This window comes from Homo sapiens, chromosome 19, assembly GCF_000001405.40.
Source record: "Homo sapiens chromosome 19, GRCh38.p14 Primary Assembly".
In the NCBI taxonomy this organism is placed as follows: Eukaryota; Metazoa; Chordata; class Mammalia; order Primates; family Hominidae; genus Homo; species Homo sapiens.
The window spans coordinates 28572278-28599394 of record NC_000019.10 but is presented as its reverse complement, the minus strand read 5'-3'; the positions used below and the strand labels follow the sequence as shown (position 1 = coordinate 28599394).

Here is a 27117-nt window from a genome sequence, read left to right as displayed (position 1 = left end):
TCTAGTAGTTTCTATCACTCTGGGAATGCTGAGCGGCCTTGGGATGCCATCGCTGATGAAGAGGCTGCCTCTGATGTGGTAAGACAAATGGACATGGAGAGGCACCTGAGCTCCACTCCTAACAGGACAAGACAGAGAAGAACTGGGTCTGAAGTTGCAGAGCAGAGGGAGGAAAGGAGCACTTAGGAAGCGTCTCATTCTCAGGGAAGAAGGGCTTAGAGATGGGTCATCTGCACAGGCCAGGACGAGCCTCTGGGACACTGCTCAGCTCTGTTTGCTTCTGACTTAGGTCCCACTGGGCCCCCTGGTTTGGGTGACGTTTTCAAAGTTAAGGCATGCTACCCCCTGGGGGTGGGGTGGACTTTTGCATTTGGAGAACACAAGGTGTACAACAGTGAGAAAAAGACAAAAGCCCCTGCTGTGGTGGGGCTCACATTCCAGTGTGTGTGTGGCCAGAGGGAGCCAACAAGCAAACAAAAATGAAACAGGCAATTTCAGAGAGCTAAGAAGGAAATAGAGGAGACTAATGTTACTGTAATTGGAAGGTCAGCAGGCCATGGGCTGAATGACTAGAGGCTGAGTCCTTTCTTTTCAAGAGAGAAAGGACATGGTGGGGAGCGGCCCAGGCCGTGTGGGATAAGAACTTTTCAGTTGTGCAAGGTGCTTGGATTTCACTTCAAGTGCAAAGGGAAGGCAGGTTGCCCTGATTGCTGAGTGGAGGAGGAGACAGGTGGGTGATGATGATGGCCAGGGCCTGGGCAACTACCTTTCTTCTTCCCTCAACTGGACCTGCCCCATCCACAGCCCCTGCCTCCCATGAGCCTTGCAGGAACTCCAGCTAGCGAGGGCTACAGAAGGCCTTGACCAAATCACCAAGCCCCAATTTCCAGCTTCCTCGTGTAAAATAGAACTGGCAATGGTGTCCCTCATAGGGTGGCTGTGAAGATGAGATGAGGGCACACGTGCACCAGAGATGGGGACAAGAAGTGCCTGATGCAGGTGTGGCCACTCTCGACTCCACCCCCACATCAGGAGATTCTGGAATTAAGATGCACTTTACCCTTGTGTCATTTAAGGGAGAGTTTGCATGAGTTTTGAAAGATCATCCCCAAATTGATGTCTTAGAGTTGAGGAAATCCAGTGTTATGGACCCAGCCTGCCCATGTTTACCTCCGTTCCCTAGCCCTCCTCCTGCCTTTTGGAATCACTGTCCCTCCAGTCCCTCCTGTCCCTAGCAGCCCTCCCTCACTTCCCAGCCTTTGAAGGGCCACCTTTGTGTCCTGCCAGCTCAGAGAGCACTCACCTCCTGGGCTACCCAGTGTGAGATGAGCCACGCAGCTACCACGGAGCAATACCCTGAGGATCAGGCCTCATGCGTTTTTCTCTGTCTCACACCAACCCTGAGCCCCAGGTAGAGATGGAGAAGCCTTTGTGAGCCCTTACCCAGGTGAACATCCAGGGAACCATTCCCATCAGAAGCAGTGCCCTTGTCTAGAGCATCCTGGGAGCGATTTCTGTCAGAAGCAGTGCCCTCGTCTAGACTCTTTCTGATGCATTGCCAATCTCCCCAGCTCCCACTTGCCAGCCACACACTGTGAGGAGCAGCCTGGCTTCAGTGTCGGGCAGGGTGGGGCACCCTCCTTCCTTCGTGGGGAGCTGGCTCTGGCGATAGAGCAGTCCATGATGACCTCCTCCACCTGGCACGTGGGCTTGCTTTTACACTGGCGCTCTGGTGTCTTTTCATGGCATCTATTAGGCATCATAACAAAGTACTGGGGAAAGGCCCCCCTGGTGGGTGCTTGCCATCTCCTCCCACTATGTGTCCACAGAGACTGTGATTTGAAGATACACTGTGGTAGCTCTCACTGAGGTTGACATAGTACCGAGCTCCCATTTGGTCAGGGATGGCTTCCTGCAGGAGACAGTGGGTTTAGGAACAGAATCTTCATAGGTGGAGGATATAGAAGAAACCATGAAGAAACTGCCTAGGCCTTAGGGAGCACAGAAAAGCTCATAGCAGTTCCTACTGCTGTTGGCAAGGGGTTGGGTAGATTTAATAGCACAGATACGGCTAGTGTCACCCACTTCTCGCCCTTCCTGCCTTGAATGTGGATATGTTAGCTGTTTTGGCAGCCATCCTGTGACCAGGAGCAATGACTGTTTGCTGGAAACTCTGCCCAGGGCTATATCTAATCCTTACTGCAACCTTATAAAGCAGGAGCCATTGTCCACTCTATTTTACCAGTGAGGAAACTGAGATTCGGAAGTAGAACAGCACACAGGAATTAGATGGTAGAGATGGACTCTGAATCCAGTGTGGCCCATCTCAGTCAGTGTTGTTAACCGTGAGCCCTGCTCTTCTGAGAGCTGGGCCAGCAGAGGCCTCCCAGCACGCACTTCCCACCCTCACTGCCGTGCTGCTACGCACCTTCTTTTCCTTCTCTGGGAACAGGGGCCCGGATGTGGAAAGCTTGCAGGGAGAGTGTGGGGGACCCCCTGTGAGGCTGATGTTTAATCACTTGTCTGTTTAGCACCGACGAGTCAGGGAGCAAATGTGGCCCTAGGTGTGTTGTTTTAATAATAAATCAGAGGTGAGTGCTCACAATTCCTTAATTATGTACATTTTCCTCAGAAAAAATTTCAGGGCCCCAGCAGGTGCCTGCTCTCTGGGCCTCATTACTGTTGACAGAGCTAGGATTTATGCGCTCACAGCGGCTTGTGGCAAAATGTGCACAGGGCTGGGAGACCGCCCGTGTTTTCCCTGCTATTAAAATGTCACCTCGGGGTAAATAATATGTGTTAACACACCAGACACATCTCCCAGGTTTGTTTCTTTTACCTAGTCTGAAAATAATTAACAGCTTGTAACAACTTCCTAACTAAATGTAGTGAGTTATTTAGCCTTTCTAAAAAAAAAAAAAAAAAAAACTGACACATTTTCCCACCATTATTATTTCATCTCATTTAATTATGAAGCCCACAGATTACTGAAATAAGAACAACTTGGTTTCAGTACTCCTGGGGTGTGTTTTCCCAAATCATTGTGTTCAGCACACTCTCACTGCATTGTAAGTTGTCGATGTGGCTGGAATCGGTGTGAGAAACATTTCTCTCTGGTGGCCTTGTTAACCCTCCTTGGTCAGTACTGGATGTTTCCTGTCCTCCCTCTTTCAGTTGTCATGGCTGCTGGGGATATGCTCAGTGACAAACTAGAATTTGGTTCAACAGAACACCTGTTTCCAACCCCCTGTTTCTCACCTGCTTCTCTGCTATCGGGGCTGAAAGGGATATATAGTCAGTTTCCCAGAATTCCTTGTAGCTATGTCATGGGATCTGGTTCTAATGTGATATAATGTGGTTGGTGGAAGGTTTCAGCAAAAGCTTTTGCTTTCCTGAAAGGAATTAGATAGGTAAAGCTGTCATCACCTCTTCCTCTTCTTTCTGCTTGTGTGTAAATGTGATGTTTGAGCTGCAGCAGCCATCCTGTGACCATGAGGCAAGACACATCTGGGAGAGCCACCACACTAAAGATAATGAAGTGGAAAGGAGCTTGGGTCTCTGATGACACCATTAAACAGCTAAACTGATGCTAGCAACTGCCTAACATGACACTTATTATGTAAGAAAAATAGGCTGGGCACGGTGACCCAAGCCTGTAATCCCAGCACTTTGGGAGGCTGCGGTGGATGGATCATCTGAGGTCAGGAGTCGAGACCAGCCTGGCCAACATGGTGAAACCCATCTCTACTAAAAATACAAAATTAGCCGGATGTGGTGGCAGGCAGCTGTAATCCCAGCGACTCGGGAGGCTGAGGCAGGAGAATTGCTTGAATCTGGGAGGCAGAGGTTGCAGGGAGCTGAGATCACACCATTGCACTCCAGCCTGGGCAAAAAGAGCAAAACTCTGTCTCAAAAAGAAAAAAAAAGAAAAAGAATCTCATATATTTTAGCTATTGTAGTTGACTTTTGCAGCTTAATACATTTCTCATTGATACGTATTTTATGGGAAAACATTTCTGGCTCAAGTGGTGACCAACCCAGCCCCAAGCTGTAAGATCTGGGCAGTTCTGGAGAGGAATCAATCTTATTTCTATTCTCCCTTCCTCCCTCCCTCCCTTCCTTTCTTTTTTCCTTCCTTTCTTCCTCCCTCTTTCCTTCTATCCACTCATTTACTCACTCATCTACCCAACACACATTGATGTAGCACCTATAATGTGCTCTCTTGGTGCTGGGGGCAACAGTAGTAAATAAGAGACAAGTCCCTGCTCTTCGGGAGCATGAGCTGTGTTAGAGGCCGATAATATAAGCACACATATAAGCAGGATGAACTCACAGTAGCAAGTGCTAATTGGAAGGTAAAACAGAGTGATGTGTTAGAGTGTGGGGGCAGGAGTGACAGCCCCACTTTAGACAGGGTAGTCAAGGAAGACCTTTCTGAGGAAGTGACATTTTTGCTGAGTACTGAATGACCATAATGAGCCAGCAATTTAAAAATCTTAGGGACTATGTTCCAGGCAGAAGGAAGAGCAACTGCAAAGTCCCCCAGGAGAGCAAAGTCCTGGCCTGGTGAAAGAAATGGAAGAAAGGCAGTGAGTCTGCAGAGTTATGAGTGGGGAGGCTGGGGCAGCCTCAAGCATGGAGAGAGGCAGAGGCAGGTCATGCAGGCTCCTGGAGGACAGAAGTCATTTCTCATCGTAGCCCCAGAAGCCACAGAGACTTGCCATCAAGTGTGAGCCTCTGGTTGAATGGTGGGAGTAGGGAGGCCAGCATTGTTCTCTTGAGCCAAGGCGTATTGACTGTCATGGTGCTCAACGGGCCTACCTGGGGTTTCTGTCCCAGCAGAGCCCTGAGCGCCCAGTGACTCTGTGTTGGGCATCTTGGTCCCTGATCAATTCCTGGAGAAGATGCTGTGGAAAAGCTCACTGAGATTAGTTGGGACTCTTAAATTACAAGGGCTACAAAGCCAGTTTGAATTAGTTTAAACAAAAAAGGAATTTTTTTGGAGGTACCTGTGTTAGCCCAACTGAAGAGTGAAGGAGCTAAGGTATTTATCCACCAACTACCCATGTATCTATGATGAAGATCAGCCTTGTGGGGCAGCTTTCAGCTTGCCTCGTTTGGCCAGAAAAAAATTTCAGGCAGAGTCTAGGGTGTTTGCAGAAAGCAACTTTCAATTCTAGAGGTGGGAGTCAGGGGACGCTGTGGGGCACACAGCATCTGCCACAATGCTGATGGGCAAAACTTCTTTGCCTACTCTCCTCTGTGTGCTAACTGTGGAAGTGGGTGACAGGACAGCAGTCCTGCGTGGCTGTGTGTTTTTACAATGGCATTCTTGTGTCTGTTGATTTGGCTGACTGCTCTAAGACAAGGATTGGTACATTTTTTTCATAAAGGATCGGGTAGTAAGTGTCTTAGATGGTGTGGGCCCCAGGTCTTTGCTGTCCTAGCAGGAAGCAGCCATGGGCAGTGGGTAGAAGAATGGGTGTGGCTGTGATCCAGTAGAACTTATGCATGGAAACAGGCAGAGCCTTGGGTTTGATGCATGGGCTGTAGTTTGCCAACCCCTGTTTTGAACAGTCTCTGGGTTCCTTATGTGAGAGGTTAATAGCGGGGCTTCTACAAAAGGAGAATCCTTCTTCAAGTAAGGTGAAGAGGCTTCACTGTCAAGGGGTGGTAGGTGCATTCTGTGGATTGCAAGTTGGGGATGTGCAGGTGAACCCCTTTTACTGGTGGTGATGGTGATAGTGGTGGGGGAAAGGTTTCTTGAAAGGTGAACTCTAAAGAAACCAACCATCATTAGGGACATTATAGACCAGTCCCTAAGGAGATGACTTTGACTCATGTGCTATTCCTTTTTAAAATTCCTTTCCAAATTCTCTGAAGAGTTGGGAGGCTATGGCCATAGTTTCTCCCATGGGCCTTCCAGGTCATCCATTACAGTATCCTTTTGTGACTCTCCCTGAAAGGAAAGGACTGATTTTCTGCTGACTGATATTCTGTTGAATTAACCATCTCCTTAAAGCCCTGAAACACTGGAAAGACTTGTATTTAACATATTTTGCACCTCATGACCTGCTTGCCTTTGGTCAACCTTTATGGGTTAAATCTGTCCATTGGAACTTGATATAATAACAAGCAACTATGGCCACAAAGGTGGGCAGGTTAGGGCCATCCCACCTGTGCTGGCCACCTGGCCATCAGTATCTTACAGAGATACGAACCAACCTTTTACAGATTCCAGCAGTGAAGTCAACATGTGGGTGGGTTTTGGATATGAGTATAGGAGACCAAAGCACCCCTGTGCTAAGGGATGTTTGTTAGTTGCATGCAACACCGCCTAGTCCTGCCTGACCATGGAGCCTAACGAGAGTTTAAAAACACTTGTTCTACTCATCTTGCATTTCCTTATCGATAGTGATTTATGGCTGTGCCTCAAACAACCCCGTCTCCCCTGTATGACATATAAAATTGGGGAAATTTGGAATCTTCAAGGCATAATGTTGGGTATAAGTTATGGTGAGTACTGGAAAATCTGGAATAATTGGACATATCCAGAATTAATTAGCAGTATTATCAATCAAGAATATCAAAAAAACAGATCAGATTCTAGACAATATTCCCCAGAAGCCCCTCCTGGACAGGTGGAGACAGAATTCATATGGTATTGGAGAGGATAGCATAACTGTGGGTGAGTCTCTGAGACAGGCTGGAGGCATTGTAATGGTGTTGACCAGTGCCTTGTGAAGGTTGTATTCCGTCAAGGTATGTAAAGCAAAAGACCATCTCATCAACAAATCCTGACCGAGTGCCTACTGTTTTCCAAGTGCTGGAGATACGGGAGTGAACACAATACAGTCCCTGCCCTCATGGAGCTCACATCCTATTGCAAGAGGCATCACACATACACCAGTGAGTTCAGGATAGTCCGATGGTGAACAGTTAGGCTGGTTAAGTCAGCTGGGGGTGAGGGAGCCCAGCAAGTTGCTTTTTATGTAACGTAGCCAGGGAAGGCCTTCCTGATGAGCTGCCATTTGAGCAGACACTGGAAGGAAGAGAGCAAGCACCTGGCTATCTTTGGAAGGATGGAGCCTGGCAGGAGGAGCAGCAGGTACTGGACACTGAGGAGCAAAGTGGGAGAGCACAGGGCCAGTGTGTCAGGCAGCAGGCAGGGTGAAGATCACACAGGGCCTCCGGGCCCTGGCCAGGAGTGTGCATGTCCTTGTAGGTGTAAAGGGAAGCTGATAGAGGGTTGACAGGCGGGAGTGGCATGGTTTCCTCTGTGTTTTAGGAGTTCCCTTGCAGCTGCCGCCTGGAGACCCAGCCACTTCAAAGTCTGGGAACCTGTTAGGTGGCCGTGAAATGACATTGATGAGCCATCACTGGGCCTGACCCAGGGTGGCAACTCTGGGGGGAATAAATGAAGTTTTGCAGCCAGAGCCCATGGGTTACTTGGTGATGGGATAGTTGTGTTGAGAGTAGAAAGAGGAGTCAAGTGTGACCACAGGGCTCTTGGCCTGAGCAGTTGGGGATGAAGTTGCTGTTGACTGAGACCAGGAGAGATGGCGAGGAGAGCAGAGGAGGATTAGGAGCTCAGCAGTGGGAGCGCTGAGCTTGAGATGCAAATCAAGTGGGGATGCCAGCTTGGATGTCGGATATGTGATCTTGGAGTTCAGGGTGAGATGAAGCAGGGACCCCTTCTTTTAGGGGCCTGCAGACCCTAAGCATGGAAATAAAGGAAAATCCTGAGTTATTTCAAGAGAAATTTCAGACACCTAGCCTGGGGCTGGGTCTTCAGGAAGGGGTATGTGGATGTGAAAGAAGCCCCAGGAGTAAATAAGCAACTTGTTAAAATAAAAGTATATCGTAGCCTAAAACGGTAGCCCAGGAAGTTAAAGCTCCAGAGATGTTTGGTTTCACTATAGAAACTAAAGGCTGCTCCTTAACCTGTATCCCTGAGTTGTCCTTCAGAGGTGCCGACCCCACCTAACGAGTCCAGATGCACACAAGGGGGAAGTGAGAACTAAGCTTCATTGCTTTGTTTGTTCCTGGGGGGCTTAAAGAAAATCACTCTTAGCCAGTTAACATGTTTCCAGTAACCCAAAATTTGTCAACAAAGCTTCTCTTCCTTAGCCAATTACAAAATCAGAAAATCTTTGACTCTACCTACAACCTATAAGCCCCCTACTTCAAGGTACATTACCTTTTTAAGCTTTAACCAATGTAAAACCTCCATGGTGTATTTGATTTTTTATTTTGCCTGTAGCTTCTTTCCTGAAATTTACCCTGCCTTTAAAAACCCTCGCCTGCAAGCCGTCAGGGAGGCCAGGATTTGAGCAATAGCTGCCTGGTTGTCTTCACCTGGCACCCTGCAAGTAAGCACCTTTTTTTCTATCACGGCAAAAACCTCGCTGTGGGCACCACATCAGGCAAGTGGGCCTCAGTTTGGTTGTGACAAGGGAAGAGGCCCAGAATGGAGATATGTATACAGGAGTCACCTCTCCTCACACTCTTCTTTGTCTACGCTCACTGCCCGGTGAATCTCATCCAATTTCAAGGTTTTAAAACCCATCTGCATGAGTCTTGTTCATTCTGATGTTTAGAAATCAGGAGTTGAAAAGTCTGTAATGCAGAGGTTCTCAAGAGAGTTTTGCCCCAGGGGATATTTGGCAATAGTTGGAGACATCTTTGGTTGTCACCACTGGAGATGGGAGTGCTATTGCCATTTAGTGAGTGGAGACCACAGATGCTGGTGACCATCCTACAAGGTACAGTGCAACAGACCCCACCACAAAGAATTATCTGGCCCCAAGCCTCAATCCTGCCAAGGTTGAGAAACTGCTGTAAAAGAATCAGAGAAAGAATAGCCAAGGGGAGGGAGAGAGCCAAGATAGAATCTTCTCTGTGGCTTGGTCAGGGGCCTTACGAAGCTCCAGTTCCTACGTAGAGGAGATCTTGGATCCATAACAGCTTGCACAAGTTCTAACCACCCAGGCCCCAATAAGCCTCAGTAAAGGTTTTCTGAATTGAATTGAATTTTATTCACTAATTCTAGCGCCAGACAGGATCACATCAAGTGTTGGGCAGCCTTTCCCACCTGCAGCGTGCTCCCCTGCGGGGCTGTGGCAGTCTCCCAAAGGGGCTTTGCCACCTGCAGCGTGCTCCCCTGCGGGGCTGTGGCAGTCTCCCAAAGGGGCTTTCCCACCTGCAGCGTGCTCCCCTGCGGGGCTGTGGCAGTCTCCCAAAGGGGCTTTCCCACCTGCAGCGTGCTCCCCTGTGGGGCTGTGGCAGTCTCCCAAAGGGGCCTCCACTCTGTTTGTGCTTTCATTCATTTGCTCGTTCATTTCATGTTTTCACCTTGTGTCTCCTGTGTACCGGGCCCTGTGGTTTCCCGGTGCTAGGGCTCAAAGCCTGAGTAAGATGAGCATGGTCCCTTCTCCACACAGCCTCCATTTTAGTGTGGAATACAGAATGTGTGAAAGCAGAGAAAACAGAGATGATGGGGAGCGCTGTGGAGGTAACTCAGAATGGGGCAGAGAATGACAAAAGCTGACAGGTGGCCTGTCTGAGGAGGCAACATTTCAGCCAAATACAGAAAGACAAGAAGTCAGCCCCAAAACAGGGGAGTGTGTCCTGAAGATCTGGAGCTCCCCCTCCATGGGAGAGGGCTTGGCTGTTGAAAGGGAGAGAGATGGGCCCAGTGCAGTGCAAACCTAGAGCATAAGCGAGACAAGAGCAGCAGGAAAGGAGGATGGAGAGGCAGGCGGCGCCAGGCAGGCTGGGAGTCCAGGGGCACATGTGCTTACTCCACGATCAGGGTCCCAGCGGGTGTGTCTGAGCCTGGGGCTGGGTCTTCAGGAAGGGGTATGTGGATGTGAAAGAAAGTAGATTTTGGGGACTCCAAATTCACTATGCCAAAGGACAAGTTAAGCTTGGGAGCTGAGTCACCTATTCTGCCTTCTTTTTTATGTTCCCAGGCAGACAGCTGTAATTTCACATGCTTACTTTCTCTTCCTATTATTTTTAAATGTTTAAAATTATTTATTAATGATTTTTTTTAAATAAATAGAGTTGGAGTCTCACTATGTTGCCCCAGCTGGTCTCAAACTCCTGACATCAAGTGATCCTCTGCCCCCAGGAGACTCTCCCTCCTTGGCTTCCCAAAGCGCTGGGATTACAGGTGTGAGGCACGGCCTACATGCTTACTTTATCTTATGTAAAATGTGGATAATTGACTGTTTCTCTACCCATCTTTTCACATGTAAAATGTAGATTCACTGAGCACTAAGCAAAGCCTCATGAGCACACAACCACTGGCCTCACTGCCTACCCTCCCCCCTTTTTTCATCCCTCCCTCTCTTCTATCGCTCTTTCCCCTTTAAATATTGAAGTCCTCAAAACCATCCTGAAAAAGCACAGGTCACAAATCCTACTGGGACTTGTGTTTCTTCTTCCCAGGTGCGTCCTCAACCTTGGCAAAATAAACCTCTGAATTTACTGAGACCTGTCTTGGTAACTTTTTGGGTTGCATGGGATGTGCAGGAAGGGCCAAGATGTAATGAGACGGAAGCCATTGTTCTCCCTGGCTCCAGGGTCCTCAGGACCACTAACCCCCTACATTTTGGGGGTTAGCTTTCTTTTGCATTGGCTTCTTCCAGGAGGGGCTAGGTGGCAACGACCCCTTGGAAATACGCATCTAAGCTGGCACTGTCTATACACACACCACTCTGAGGCCTCACCGTGCTCTGATTTTCACACACATTTCATCACACATTTGTTTTATAATCTCATGATACCATTGTAAATGCTCTCTAATTAGACAATGTGGAGTCTGCATGATTCTGTTAAGAGTATTTGAGTGAAAATAAAAAGGGAATTAACTATCTTAGCAGAAACTTCTAATTGCTTGTGGGAAGACAGAAAACAAAAATGCCCACCTACAGGGGTTGTTCAGATCTTAAGATTAAAGACGATATTTCACCAAGTCAGTAATGATGACTGCCAGGACACATTTTCTTTTTCCCTTCAAAACAGAAGGAAGACAAGTCGAATGAGACTTTCACAGTTTTTTCTTCTGTTGCCATGCCAGTGTCTGCAGGCCACTGGATGAAAGGCTCGATTGGTGCGTTGACTCTAATAGCCAAGTTCTGTACCATGCAAGTGAGCTGGCAGGGGCAGGGAGAGCTGGAAGGAGGAGTTTTTCAGTGACAGCCCAGGAGGGTTCTAATGTCACAAGCACTGCCACTTCCCTTTCAGCCCCTGTCCTCCCACCCCAGCTGTGGTCCTGGCTGCACTTGGGGGCTGGCTGGGGCAGGGTCTGTCCCAGCCATGAGGGTCCCATCCCTGCAGGGCTCCACACTCAGATGATGCACATCTCTCTGCGGCAGTTTCACGGATGCTCTGATGGAGAGTAAGAAGATGTTTACCCAGCAGCTCAGATTGACGTTCCATTCTCGGCGTGCACTGCCTCAGGCACACCATGAATGCATACCCATTTTTACAAATTCTGTAACTAGCATGTAAGCATCAGCTATATAGATCATTTTTTTCCTATTTTTGGTCTTAAAAACTGTCTTTATTTGCTGAATTTTAAATATACCTCAAGGCGATGGAGGTGGGAATAACAGATGAAACAGGGCTGTCAAAATGTTGGTAATTATTGACATTGAGTAATGGGTATAAAAGGGTTCATTATACTCTGATACTTACATGTATTTGAAAATACTTATAAAAGGTGAACATAAAATAAATACACCACTGTGTTTTGCATCTATTCAGTTTTTATTCTAGAAAGTGGCCTCAGGCCCCTGAAAACCTATGAGGACAAAGTGTAAGATTTTTGCTGATAGACATGAGGGAGAACTTTCTGGAAGACTGATGGGTGTCTTGGGAAGCATTCCAGCAAGGACTTTGAGATGGGCTGTGGGTGCCAAACAAGCATGGTCTCCATTTGATCTTTCCCACCTTGCTGCCTCCCCAAGGCCCTGATGCACCTGCAGATATTTCCCCAGTGGCTGCTGGGCTGGTGGGGACCCCTGGGGACATCATATCACAGGGCTGGGGACATCGTATCATGGGGCCCTGGCTCTTGCCACGTGCTCCTCCTGGAAAACTCACTCTCCTCATCCTGTACTCTGTGCACTGAAAATCCTCCTTGAAGCCTTCCTGACTACCTCAAGTGAAAGTGGCTGTTTCCTCACCCTTTGGCCCTTTCTGATGATGCTGGTTTCTATTTGCTATTGGAATTGGCTGTAGGGCTCCTGGGTAGGTGGGTTCTGTTCTTCGCAGAGAGGGTGTTGTTACCCGAGGCCGGATTTGTGGTCTCCATGAACAGCCCCTGGATGCTGTCTCCTCTGGGCCCCGTTTCCAATATTGAGCTTTCCTAACCCCACAGGGTAAAGGGCCAGTGGCCCTGCTCCTGCATGACCTGGAGCCAGCCTGCTCCCCTAAGCCTCACTCGCCTGAAGTTAAGATCCAGAACTGCCGGTCTGTCCAGCTGGAAGAGCCCGCATCTAACGGCCATGGTGCTCCCAGGCCTGGCTTCTTGGCTTGTTTTGCTGTATCTGGCGTCCAGTCCTACTTCTCCTGATACATGCAGGGGGAAGGGCCCTTTCCTGGAGACACTCATGCCCCTGCCTGCTGTGACACTAATCGCCAGGGACACATCTGAGCACATCTAGCATGCGAGGGACTGGCAGCCCGGCCTGAATCCAGCTCCTCCCCAGGGCTGAGCTGTCAAAATCACGAACCTTTTGGTGGTGACAGGAAGCAGGTGAGGCCTCTTCCATTAGCGATCACTCTGCAGCCTCAGGCAGAGACATTTTCCACTTTTAAGAGAATTTATCTGAGGCAGCTTTGGCATGTCCCGGGGGGAGGCTCAGGGACAACCCCTGGGAACAGGTCTTCATCCACTCTTCCTTAGGCTCAAGGAATTAAATGACATTTTATTACTCCAATAAATATTTCAAGGGCTTCTTTTGTCTCCAGAAACAATAGAGGATGAGAAGAGGAGACACATCAATGTCTCCCTGCTGTCCCTTTGAGGGGCTGGTGGCTTGTGCAGGGTCCCCCTCAGAGCCATTTAGGAGAGTTGCAGCCTAAAGCTGCTTCAGGCCAGGAGACATCACTGACCCCTGCTGTGGTCATCCTTGCTTTAAACCAGAAACAAAATTTGTCCCAGAGTGAGCTTGGCATACATGGAGCTAGTCATGGTGGGCCTCCTTTTTACTGCTGCATCCCTGTTTCAGAGAGGTTGACGTGTAAAAAAATGTGAGTCTTAGAATCAAAGACATGTGATAATGACATGCTCCCGGAAGTGTTATCAAGAGGCAGGAACAAGGGAAGGGTGCAGGGGACAGGCCCTAGGGAGGGAGAAGTGGTGTAGGCTGGAGTGGTGAGGCCAGGAAGGCTTCATGGAGGTGGTGGGCCCAGGGCTGGGCTGTGACAAGTTCTGCATAGGAAGGGGCAGGGCAGAGGCACTGGCAGGGCGGTGGGAGCAGAGGGCACCTGGATTGCAGAGGACCAAGGCATGTGGAGTTCGTCTGGGCATCAGTGAGCAGCCCCTGAAGTTTCCAGCCTGGCAGTGCTAAAGGGAAAGATGTTTTAGGGAGAGTACTCTGAGTTTTAGAGAGAGACTGAGGCATAAGTTAACAGGAGGTTATGGAGGGAGCTGAGTGTTGGAAACAGAGAAGCAGTCTGGAGCTGGGGACAGGGTTGACAGCGGTGATGGAGGCTGAGAACATGAGATAGTGATGGGTCTCATCATGCCCACAGCCGTTCCCCTGAGCAGCCTCTCTGCCTAGAGGTCTGGGCTTCAGTTACCTCAGAACCTTGTTCCCCACCCACTACCCAGTCCCAGGTCCACCATGGACCACTCCCAAAGCCCCTTGGGCATTCCACACCCTCCATATATAGGAGAGCATGTTCCTGCAATGGGTCCAAGCCTTCCAGACACAAAAGGACTGATGTGGGATAAGGGGCAACCAACGTCACTGGAAACTTCTTCTTCCAATGAAACTATGATAATGCTTCTCTCCTCTAGGGTGGCGCCTGGCTGCACCTAAGGTGGTCTGCAAAGGAGCAGAGATGCTTCCTCAGGCAGTACCCTTGCAACGAGTCCCCCCAGGAATATCCTGCACCACCCTGCAATCACTTCCCCCAAAGGTGACCCAGATATCTTCCTGGCACCAGCTAGAAACACAAGCTAATTCTCCAATGGGCTACCAGTCTAGGAGCTGAGGAGAGGGGAAAGTCAAGATGGCTACTGGAGAGCTGGGCATCTAGAGAGGCTTCTAATGGAACAGAATGGAGCTCACGTGAGGGATGGCATGGTCAGGAGCCCACGTGGTGCCCCTACAAGCCCTGAGACAGTGCTGTCTCCTCCAGATCAAGGCCACCTGAGGGTTGGTGCCAGCCCCAGAGGTCCCCCCAGCCTCAGGTCCCAATGCCTTCCCAGGGAAACTTCCCTGCCTTTTTGTGTGGTGCAGGTGGCTTTCCACGAAGACCAGATGGAACTCATTAAGCTTAGGTCCGTTGTGACTGAAGACAGATTTAGTTCACCCAGAGGCAAGAGCCGAGTGCTGATTAGCTGTGCTGTCCTGCCCACGAGGAAGGGGATGGAAGGTGTGCTAACTGCTGAATTTTAGGTGGAGTGTAAAATAAACATCTCTTTAAGTTTTGAAGGTTTAATGAGTCATAAGATTATTCCAAATTACTTGCTGCTCTAATATTCAGTTTCTACCTTTCCCAGTGGGCTGGGGTTCCATTCCTCCTAGTTGTGAGGACTCAAGTTCATTGATGGTAGGAGGTAGTAGTGATTTGTCAAGAACAGTTTCTCTCAAGGTATGTACCATATGAGCTTGTGTGTGCATGTGTGTATGAGTGTGTGTATTACTGTGTGCGTGTGTGTATAAGTGTGTGTGTGTGTGTGTGTGTGTGTGTGTGTGTGTGTAAGGGTACAGCTTTGGGGGAGTGTTGTCCTCATACACACCACTGTTGGCCTGTTTAGAAAAGGTGAGGCAGTCATAGCTGTGACCCTCCAGGTGGATTAGCCAGTCATGCCTTAACTGCCCCTGAAGGTGTTTGCAGACCCCGACCTGGAATGAAATGCCAGGCCTAGTGGTATAATGCCGGTTGCTAAATCAGGCCTCGAAAAATCCCTTCAGTCACCACCAGTATAGCATACAGGCTTTGTTTGTGCAGTGCTATAGGGCAATACCTGTGCACATGGTGCTGAGCCAAGCAAAGTCAGTAAGCAGCTGGTGGCCTCTTCCCCTGTGAGGCCCGTTGAATTGCTCCAAGAGAGCAAGGAGATGGCTGTTTATCCTTGCAGAGTTTATGCCATTCCATTTTACTATAAGCATCTTGAATGTTAATTTGAATAATAGACTTGTTTCTTGATGTGAAGATCAAATAAGAGAGTGGAACCGCATCTTCCACACCGAGCTGGAGCCCGAGGTCAGAGCAGTGTGCTCCACTGTGAAGCGCTTAGCACAACATCTGGTGCACGGTCCACACAGCCAGAAGCCGCATTAGCATTACGGAAGAGGAGTGTGCATTTCCTCCACGCATGAATCATGGAACATCAGAGGTGGCAGTGGCCTTAGAAGGAGGGCAGGAGATGAAAAGGGTTTTGACAGAAGCAAGACTCAGACCTGGGCCTCCTGGCTCCTGCCAGGCCTGGAAGCTGCGTCCTTTATGCCTGTTTGCCATTACCTTCAGGCCATTTGGTTGACATTCCCCACTTTGTTATGGACAAATATCAAAATGACTGCTCAGGGCTGTCACTTAGGGGGCCATTTTGATCTTCAGAGGTGCTTTTTTACCAGGAAGACTTCCCCATACTGTTTTCTGGCATATGGCCTCAATGCTGACATCAGCTGCCATATTTTTACATCGGATCTGCTGCAAACGCTGATCACCTGTTTACCCAGTCAGGCAACCATGTGCCTAATTCTTCCTAGAAGAAGGCCTTGAATATTCATGAGGAATATGCCTTCATGTATATCGCAGTTGCCTGGTCTGTCACTGCTGTTCTCTGCATGCAGTTATTAGTATTTGCTATTGACTATATCAGCAGGTATTTGGCCTTGAAGCCTTAAAAAAATTCTATATTCCTAATGAACTGCCACAATTACAGCAGCCTGTATTTATTTCATTGGGATTGATTTCTCAAATGTCCATACGGTGGGAGAGTGGAGGGCAGACAAACAAAAGTATCTGAGGCAGTTCTCAATCAATTTAGAAGTTTATTTTGCCAAGGTTAAGGACATGCCTGGAAGAAAGGAATACAGAATCCCAAAAACAGTCTGTGCTCTGTGCCTTCTCCAAAGATAACCCTGAGGGCTTCACTATTTAAAGGGGAAGAGCAGGCTGGAGAGCCAAAAGGAAGAGCATGGTCACGTTACTGAATCTACATGTGGCAAGGGAAAAGGAGGAGTAGTGCAGGGAGTAGTCAGTCACAAGTCCTCTCTCGCTCAGTAAATCAGCAGTTTACATAAGAAAAGCTCATCTTTAACCTTTTTTCTGTAGCTCTGCTCAGGAACAAATGCAGAGGCAACTTATTGCCTGTCTCAGCTTTCACCTTAATTTTTTCCTTATGGCAGAATGCATTGGGGTCCTGAGTCTTTTTTTTTCCACAAGACATAAGGTCCTACTGTCTTAGAAACACTCCATCTCAATGAGAATTGCATTTTGTTTTTAATTTCATGGATGTTTCTTTGTGGATTCTTACTTGGTTTTTTTGTTTTATTTTGTTTTGTTTTGTTGGAGTCAGTGTCTTGCTGTGTTGCCCAGGCTGGAGTGCGGTGGCAGGATCTCAGTTCATTGCAACCTCTGCCTCCCGGGTTCAAGTGATTTTTGTATCTCAGCCACCCAAATAGCTAGGGCTACAGATGCGCACGACCATGGCCCAGCCAATCTTTTGTGTTTTAAGTAGAGAGGGTTTTTGCCATGTTGGCCAGTCTAATCTAGAACTCCTGGCCTCAAGTGATCCGCTCCCCTCAGCCTCCCAAAGTGCTGGGATCACATGTGCGAGCCACCATGCCAGCCACTTGTTTTGCATTTGACTTCCTTGAGTCTCAGTTCATGAAAAATGGGCATGTTACTTCAGATGCACATGCGTGTACACACAGTCACATGTGGAACTATGCGGACAGCCCCATCACACAGGATCAGGGAAGGTTTCCTAGGGGAGACCTTTGAATCCAAGAGAGGAGGGCAAATTGTGACAGAAGAGGGAAGGCGATTTTATGTACCTGCGATGAGATGAAAAAGCTCCAGTAGAAGACAATAGGAATGACTTAAGCTGGAATTCGGAGAAGACTAAGGGGGAGGCCTGGGGGTGGTGAGGGCGGGGGGTCATATAGTGTTTACCCAAGAGCTTACCTGCTGGACTGACACAGATCCCAACTGGAACACTCACTGGCTGTGTCATCCTAGAAAATGACCCTACCCCCACGCCTCAGTTCCATCGTTGGTAGAGAATCGCCACCTCCCAGAGTTCTTCTGAGACCAAGTGAGGTGAGGGGAGCTGGGCACTAACAACTCAGCTCTTGCTCTGTGCCTGCTCCAGGTATTATTTGGGTGTGCGGTGCATCTCAGTATTGCAAATGGGAGTTTTCCAGACTCCACTCTGAATAGCAGTTAGAAAACAAAAAAATTCAGGGCTAGAAGTAGATTCATCACCTGAGGGTGTGAACCCCCTGTGGTCTCCTTCCTTCAGTTTCTCGGCATAATTCAGTGGTTTTGCAGCCTTCAGGGTGCTGTGGACAGCTGAAATTGCAGTTGGTGAGATCTCCCATCACCTAGTTAGCTTTCTCTATCTCTTCTCCCATACACAATAGTCAACACCACCGCCGCTTTCCCTCCAATTTTCTCCCAGACTGACTGCTTACCTGTCACGCCTGCTACTTTGCCCACCACTGCTGACTCTCCACAGAGCTGGTGGAATGCATGGAACTCAAGAACAGGGCCCTTTCTTACCCCAGGGGAAAAAAAAAGTCTCTTCTATTTGCTAATTTGCCTTGTTTCAGCTTCCCTCTTATCCTGCAAATTAGCAGGTCAGGCTGCTTTGAAAAAAAGCTGGTGCATGGCCAGGTGTGGTGACTGACGCTTGTAATCCCAGCACTTTGGATCATTTGAGGTCAGGAGTTCAACACCAACCTGGCCAACATGGTGAAACCCCGTCTCTACTAAAAATACAAAAATTAGCTGGGCGTGTTGGCGCCCACCTGTAGTGCCAGCTACTCAGGAAGCTGAGGCAGGAGAATCACTTGAGCCTGGGAGGCGGAGGTTGCGGTGAGCCAAGATCGTGCCACTGCACTCCAATCTGGGCGACAGAATGAGACCCTGTCTCAAAAAAAAAAAAAAAATGGTGGTACAGATGCTAGTGCCATGAGGCTGCTTCTAACCCTCCTGTGGCTTCCCATGCCCTCAGTCACGTACCTTGTTCTAAGGGCCCTGCGTGTCCTGCCCTGTCTGCCTCTTCCCTCGCCCCCGCTTGAACTCACTCCTTTCCTGGCTCCTTCCAAAAGCTCCCTAGACATATCTAGCTCCCTCCTGCCTGAACCCCTGCTGTTCCCTCTTCCTGATGAAACACTCTCTCTCACTTTTTGCCTGAGTAGTTTCTTCTCATTCTTCTTTCTTCCAGGGAGATAGGCCAGGAAAGGCTTTCTGAGCAAAGACTACTAGGTTCTTTTCATCCACGGTATATATAAATATATGCATAAATACAAATTGCGGCATGTTTAGTCGGACATGGGGCTCTCTGGCTAATCCACAGTTTTGATGAGAGCAGGAACTGTGTCTGTTTCACTCTTACACTGTACTCCCCTGATCACAGGGCTGCCAGGAGCCCAGATGGTGCCTTTCTGCAAAGTGGACAAGGGCCCTTCCTCAGGACTCTTCATATATCTACTGGAACATTGTTTTAGTACACTTTTTTTAGAACAAGGCACATTATTACCATCTGCTAGAAAATTAGAATAATAAATACAGCATTTTATGCTGTTGTGGTGTGACCTAGATATGGTATTTTTTCACAGTGCACAAATTGTACAACTGTACTCGGCAATCCTCCATATCACCTACCACAGTGTCTACATCATAATTAATATTTGTTGAGTAAATTAATTAGTTAATGGGAAAGCCCTGAGGCCAAGGGTAAGAACAATGGATTCAGAATCTGGCTGCCAGGGCTTTGGGGACAAAAGTCATCACTTGCTAGCTGGCCTTGGTGAAGTCACTCACTGCTTGGAGCCTGTTTCTTTACCCGTAAGACAGGGTTTGCTGTGAAGGTCTAGCAAGATCACAGTGCAAAGTTAACATACTTGTCTTATGGGCCCTCAGTGTAGCAGCCCCAGTTGGTGCCCATGCTGCCTCCTGCCCTGTCTCTGCCTTCATTTGCAGGCTGCAAGCTTCTCACCTCAGGCCATCCAGGCTCTCAGTGGTTCTCAGGGATTTCTCCAAACTGTGTACTTACTCAGCCCTCAAGGGCAGGTGCAGGGTGGGAATGGCTGTGGTTGGTGGGAGGTAATTGATATACCAGGGACAGCAGCTCTCCATGGGGATAGGACCTGTGGGTAAATGCCCCAGCCTCCCATATCTTAGAGGGATGAGTCTGAGGTGTTTTCTCTACAGCTCCCCAGACAGTCCCCGGCAGGATGGAGCCTCAGTTTCCCACAGTGGCAACGAACCCAGCAGACCCACCGTAGCTTCTCTCCCTTTCCTTCCTCACCCTCTGCACTTCTTATTCCAGCTTCCTGGGATCAAATTCTAAAGAAACCAACTATACCCAAGTCCTCAGCTCAGTTCTGCTTTCAGGAGAACATTAATAACACCCATATCCTAGAGAATCAAGTTGGGTTTTTTCCATTATCTTCTGCTAGAATACCCTGAGGAAGCAGCTGCAATTCCAGCCTAGTCTCTGGAATAACAGGGACCTTGGGGATGGATCAATATCCAGAAGAGGGTGCACAGATGGTGTGGCCCACAGGGATTCTGGGGCTGGGGTTGGGGGAGAGGGGGCAGAGATGAGGAGCAGGGTTAAGGGCAGGGCCTGGGAGACACCATCCTAATGGTTCTGCCCTCAGGAGAGGGCTGCCAGCTGCTCCAGGACAGCCCATTGTTTCAGCTGAGAGAGGCGACAGTGCTCCCTGGAGTGCCGACTGGTCTGCCCATTTCTTCTTGAATTTTTGTATTAGCTATTGCCACAGAAATGCTACATAGCAAAGCAACCCAAAAGCCACTGGCTCGAAACCCCAGCCACTGGTTCCTGCAGTTCACGTGGCTGGCACTGAGTTCTGGCAGGGCAGCTCTTCTCTAAGTCTCTCCCTTCCCAGGTGATGGTAGAGGCACAGGCTGAGAAGCCGCACCATACAAGTGTAGCATGTGGGCCATGCTTGCCAGTGTCTCATTGGCCAGAACAAGTCATGTGACTGCATCCAACATCAGGGAATTTCCTTTTGCCCCTAGGCAGATTTGATGCAAAAATGTGGACACAGGAAAGGGGAAGAACTGGAACCCTTATGCATTCCACCACGTGCATGGGGAGGGTCTCCAGTAGTAAAACCTATTTTCTTCCAAGTGTCTATACTTTGTGGGCATCTAACAGTGACATGACCAGTGCCAGTGAGCAACCTCTGCCTTTAGACTTCGGGTTCCAACTTAAAGCTAACTTGGCAAAGTCTGCTTCTTCTACACTCAGCCTCGCCTCTGTTGGGTTTTTTGTTTGTTTGTTTGTTTGCTTGCTATTTGTTTTTAGAGCTGGGTTCTGTCTTTGTTGCCCAGGCAGGGGTGTAGTGGGGCACGATTACACTTCACTGCAGTCTCAGCCTTGGGTTCGAGCAGTCGTCCAACCTTAGTCTTCTGAATAGCTGGGACTACAGGTGCCTGCCCTCACACCCATCTCTTTTTAAAAAAAAAAATTTGTAGATATGGGGTCTTGCTATGTTGTCCCGGCTGCTCTTAAACTCCTGGCCTCAAGCGATCCTCCCACTTCAACCTCCCAAAGTGCTGGGATTGCAGGCGTGAGCCATCCCACCTGGTCTCTTGCATCTGTTTAGCGTAACCCATCAGCCTGAGGTGCAGGTGCAGTTCTTTCCTCTTCATTTCTGAGCATTTACCTGTCTAGCCTGGCAGGGAAGCCCAGTGCTTCCCGATGGCCTAACCCAGCATCATTTAGAGTCTAAGGCGGCAGCAGGAGTCTCCTGTCAGTCACTGCCATGCTTCCTCCTCTCAGAGAGAAAACACTGGGCCCAGGTGGCCTTCTTTTCCTGATGTCCTAGAACTGATCCTCCCACCCCACCGCTAATCTGGACTCAGCTCATTTGCGGTTCTCTTCTGGGGCCCTGAGGCTCAGTGAGGACCATCCAAACCCCCCAGAGTTTCTCGTCATGTCAGAGCTCCAGAAGGAAGAGTTGGTCTTGATGCTTTTCCTTCCTGGAGGTTCCTTGGCTCCTTTGCAAATGTGTCCTCCTCCCCCACTCCTCCCCTTCCGCTCCGGGGGCACGATGCCACCAAATGTCCTATCCCACTTTTGCTGGTGCCCCCACCTTCCACTGCATGCCAGAGGGGGCCGCTCACATGACACTTCTCAGAGAGACCTGCTCTAAGGTGACATTCTTCCACCCAGCCTGAGAAGCTGCTGGCGCTTTTTTTGAAAATAAACAAAATCACTTTTCATTCCACCCTGTTGGTACATTTGTTTATGTTTTCTACTTAAGGTTGTGTTTGAGCTCAGGGCCTTGGGTGAGAAAAAGCTGGAGAATTCTAGACCTGGATATCCCCTGGGGCCTATTCTGCTGTGACTCTCCATGACTCTGCTGTGAGAAAGAATCCTTTCCCTCATTTTCCTGCCATCCTTCACAGGCCGGGGCTGGACTCACCTTGGGGTTGTGGTTGACCCCACATGTGCACAGCTGCCCTCTGTCCCTGTGCTGAGTTTCAAACATTGCTTACCCTGCAGCTGGCTTTAAAAAGCATCATAAAGATCAGGCTGGTGGGAGGAGAAGGAGGAGTCATGGCTGGGGGAACTTCAAAGCTATAAACATTTAGGCATCTGCGGCTGATTTAAGAGCATTCTAATTTAGCAGCTGTCTTGGCACAGCTAGCTACCCTGGTGCACAGTACCATTGAGCAAAGAATATATTTAATATGATTTATGCAAGCATTGCCACAGAAAGTTTCTAACCAAAATATGGCCTTAAAGTGAGTGGACAGAGGCCAACAGTGAGTGAAGCTTGTGGCATGGCTTGGGGCTTAGTGTCCCCATCACCTTTGAAGCTGTGTGTGAGGGGTGGGGTGGGGCGGCACGTGTTTAGCAAAATTGTCTCAAAATTATAAAGACAATTAGTTTGGTGTGCCTGAAGGTCAAACTCCATTTTCAACTTCCTTCTTTCCCAGGCACCTACTGTTCATCCTATTTTCAACTATGTTCTTTTGCTTATTTGTCCATCCATCCATCCATCCATCCATCCGTCCATCCATCCAACTGTCCATCCATCCATCCATCCATCCATCCATCCAAGCATCCACCCAGGACTAAGTGACTGCATTGTGCTGGATGCTGGAGTAGTGTAGGCCCATCCTCAGGAGCTTGCATTTTATCAGATGCAGCAGATGCTGCCAGTGCACCACCCATATCCCCTTGGCACACACCAGAGGCCACCAGCAGTTTCCATGCTTACTGATGCCATCCTATCTTGAACACTTGTGTCTGTCAGAGCACTTTTTCTGCCATTAATGCTTATGGCCTGTGGCCCATGGGGCTCAGCCCAAAAAGGCTGGGAGGTTAAGAGAGTAATCCTCAGTCAATAAAGGATGGGAATGGGTGGCGATAGCCCCCAGACATATTGTGAGGGTTTGAATCCAGATTCCTTGGCCCTTGGTACCTTGTCAGGATAATTCTGAAGTGTGTTCTACGGAGTTCTTAAATGTTCAGTAGTTTGAGTATTTGTTCCCCCAGATCTCATGTTGAAATGTAACCCCCAGTATTGGAGGTGAGGCCTGGTGGGAGGTGATTGGATCATGGGGATGGATTTCTCATGAATGGTTTAGCACCATCCTCTTGGTGCCCTCCTCGCAATAATGAGTGAGTGCTCATGAGATCTCGCTGTTTAAAAGTGTGTGACACCTCCCCACCCTCATGATTCCACTCCCACCAGGTGGGACACCTGCTCCCCTTTTGCTTTCCACCATGAGTGGAAGCTTCCTGGGGCCTCACCAGAAGCAAATCCTGGCACCATGTTTCCAGCACAGACTGCAGAACCATGAGCCAAATAAACCTCTCACCTTATAAATGACCCAGCTTCAGGTATTGCTTTATAGCAATGCAGAAATGGCCTCATATAGCAGGTTCCCAGCAGGACTTAGCCAGTCACCACAGTGGTAATCTGTTCACTGTCACCCACTCATTCATCACAGTTATAACCTGTTCACTGTCAACCATTCATTCACCAGAGTGAGAACCTGTTCACTGTCACCCACTCATTCACCACAGTGGGAACATGTTCACTGTCACCCACTCACCACAGTGGGAACCTGTTCACTGTCACCCACTCACTCCCCACAGTGGAAACCTGTTCACTGTCACCCCCTCACCACAGTGAGAACCTGTTCACTGTCACCCACTCATTCATCACAGTGGGAACCTGTTCACTGTCACCCACTCAACACAGTGGGAACCTGTTCACTGTCATCCACTCATTCACCACAGTGGGAACCTGTTCACTGTCACCCACTCACTCCCCACAGTGGGAACCTGTTCACTGTCACCCACTCACCACAGTGGGAACCTGTTCACTGTCACCCACTCACTCCCCACAGTGGGAACCTGTTCACTGTCACCCACTCACCACAGTGGGAACCTGTTCATTGTCACCCACTCACCACAGTGAGAACCTGTTCACTGTCACCCACTCATTCACCACAGTGAGAACCTGTTCACTGTCACCCACTCACTCCCCACAGTGGGAACCTGTTCACTGTCACCCACTCACCACAGTGAGAACCTGTTCACTGTCACCCACTCATTCACCACAGTGGGAACCTGTTCACTGTCACCCACTCATTCACCACAGTGGGAACCTGTTCACTGTCACCCGCTCACTCCCCACAGTGGGAACCTGTTCACTGTCACCCCCTCACCACAGTGAGAACCTGTTCACTGTCACCCACTCACTCCCCACAGTAGGAACCTGTTCACTGTCACCCACTCATTCACCACAGTGGGAACCTGTTCACTGTCACCCACTCACTCCCCACAGTGGGAACCTGTGCACTGTCAGCCACTCACTGGCCGTTCTTGCTTGCTCATCTTACGTCCGCATGCCTTCATTGAGATTCTTGGGATTGCCTCTAAATTTAACTGCCTGCCCATGAGTTCTTGTCTCAGAGTCTGCTTTGGGGGACTCTAAGCTAAGACAAAAGACGGGCGTCTAAAATTTCTTTCACCTGTCTCCTTTGCTAGATTCTATGTTTCCTGAACCTTATGTCTTACCTTTTCATAGATTACCCCCTCATTCTGGGGAGCACAAGCTCTGCTAGCTTGCTCAGGAGGCGTGTCTCATTTGTGCATATTTGGAGGCATTTAATTTCTGAAAGAATCTTAAGTCTACCCTAATATTTGTTTGATAGGTTGGTTGTATATAGAATTCTAGAATTGTCTTTTGGAATTTTAAAGATATATATTAGTTTATTCTCACACTGCCATAAAGAACGACCGGGGACTGGGTAATTTATTTAAAAAAAAAGGTATTTAATTGGCTCATAGTTATGCATGCTGTATAGGAAGCATGGCTGAGGAGGCCTCAGGAGACTTACAGTCAAGGTGAAAGGCAAAGGGGAAGCCGGCCCGTCTTACATGGAAGGAGCAGGAGGAAGGGAGAGAGCGAAGGGGAAGGTTCCACATGCTTTGGACAACCAGATTTCATGAGAACTCTATCATGAGACAGCAGTAGGGGAATGGTGCTAAACCACTAGCTACCACCCCCAAGATCCAATCACCTCCCACCAGCCTCCACCTCCAACACTAGAGATTACAACTCAATATGAGGTTTGAGTGGGGATGCAGACTGAAACTGTATCAACACTGCTTTGTCTTAAGGTTCTAGTGTTGTGGTTGGAGACTTTGAGGCCATTTTGTGCCTGGCCAAGTGTGTACTAGTGTGTCCCGTGGCTGCTGCAGGTTAGGCACAGAAGCATCGCCTGAGCAATGCTAGTTGTCAGGAAGTTGGGAACAGCCTGCTTGCAAGGATCTGGGTGACTGCTGCAGTGTGAACACCAAGGCAACTCTTGCTACGTCTTTTTCTGGTCTCTTTGTTCTGTTCTTTATTGACCAATTGTGTAAAAATTCCTTTGCCACTGTTATCCTGTTTGAAGGATCATAGTTTCCAAATTTTACTTTGTTTTGTTTTATTTTATTTTATTTTATTTTATTTTATTTTATTTTATTTTATTTCGACATGGAGTCTTGCTCTGTCACCCAGGCTGGAGTGCAATGGTGCAATATTGGCATACTCCAAACTCCCCCTCCTGGGTTCAAGTGATTCTCCTGCCTCAGCCTCCCCAGTAGCTGGGATTACAGGTGCCCACCACCACGCCCGACTAATATTTGTATGTTTAGTAGAGATGGGATTTCACCATGTTGGCCAGGCTGGTCTTGAATTCCTGACCTCAGGTGATCCTCCCGCCTCGGCCTCCCAAAGTGCTGGGATTACAGGCATGAGCCACCAACCCTGGCCTTCCAAATTTAATTTTTTTTAATGTGGATTTGTGGATTTGCTTTGATTAAGTACTAATTCTCCATGACATGTAATTTAAATGGCACCTAGGGCTTATGGTGAAAAGTAGGTGATTCCTAGTGCAGTTTCTGCTTCCGGTCCTTGTGCATCCTTCAGACATGCCCTATGGGTGTGCAAGCATGTCAATGTGTGTTCCTTAAGAAGAAACATACAAAAACAACTCAGCCCCAAACTATTGCATAGGTTACCATGCCTCGCAGGTTGTCTGTCCTTCTGGAGTTTGCATTTTCATGCAGGAAGATGCCATTTAGTCTGATGCCATGGGAGTCAAGGTGCTATGGGAGTCAGGCAAAGCCTGTCTGAGAAGTTGAGACCTGAAGGGAGACAGGAACTAACATCGGGGAACTGGCTTGAGCTCCAGAGAGAACAAGAGCCAGGTTTGAGGGCTCGAGGAAGCAGAGAGGGGGCTGTATAAGGTGAAGATATGGAAGCTGGAGAGATGGTCAAGGGTTGGATTCTTGGGGGCTTGAATGTGTGGGCATGCCTGGCAGTCTTTTCTTTTTGCAGATAAAAGCAGTGAATTGCATCATTGACAGGAAAGCACTGCCATGAGCAAACTTGAAATAATAAAAATAGACGTCAGTTGAGTGCCAGACACTATTCTGTCCTTTACCTGTATGACCTCCTTTTACCTCCACGATAGCCTTATGAGCTGGGTACTGTTATCATCATCATTTCCATTTTACCAATAAAAACCTTAAGGCACAGAGAGGTTTAGTGACTTGTTCAAGGTCACACTGCAAATAAGTGGCAGGGCTGGGTTTTGAACCTGTGTTGTCTGGTCTAAAGCCCTTGCTCTTAACCTCTGCACCTCCTGCTGCTTAGCTTTCCTCTTTCTTGCCCTCAGTCTCTCTTTTCTTTTTCCTCAGCCCAATGCACCTTCTAGCATCACCTTTGAGGATTCAGGGTCTTTTGTGTTCCCAGGTCACCTACTTTGTCTGCTTCCAGGAAAGGCACCTGGGTATCAGCCACCCACACCTCAAGAACTTATGTCCTGTCAAAGAGGGTGATGGTCCCTTTGGAAATTATCTGTCCAGTCCCCCATTTTCCCCATGGTGAAACTGGTATCAGAGGGAAAATGGGAGAGGGGAAGGTAGATAAGGGAGATTTTGACAGATGAGAGGAAAAGGAAAGGAAGGGAAGGGATGGAGGGAAAGCAGAGTGTGGAAGTGCCATGTGAGCACCGTGATCTTGCTCCCATACTTGCCCCCACCTGAAGTCATAGTGCTCTGTGAAGGAGAGAGCACCTTACATCTGGAGCTTGGGGTGCACACTTGAGTTCTAAATCAACCCCAGTTACATATGCAATTATGGGCAAGCC

At 48.7% G+C, this 27117-nt stretch overlaps 1 pseudogene across 1 annotated transcript in view, besides 1 other annotated feature; it reads left to right on the top strand.

Moving 5' to 3' along the window:
- The window catches only part of LOC100420587 (SHC binding and spindle associated 1 pseudogene), a 292307-nt pseudogene that overhangs the window by 128300 nt on the left and 136890 nt on the right, over nt 1–27117 (top strand). The gene's annotated exons all lie outside the window — the stretch shown is intronic.
- Nucleotides 9342–9984: an enhancer, noted in NCBI's record as "H3K27ac-H3K4me1 hESC enhancer chr19:29080318-29080960 (GRCh37/hg19 assembly coordinates)". NCBI's record gives its function as "activates a minimal SCP1, AML or CMV promoter by ChIP-STARR-seq in primed H9 embryonic stem cells {active_cell/tissue: H9 hESC(primed)}" and the evidence as "EXISTENCE:reporter gene assay evidence [ECO:0000049][PMID:30033119]".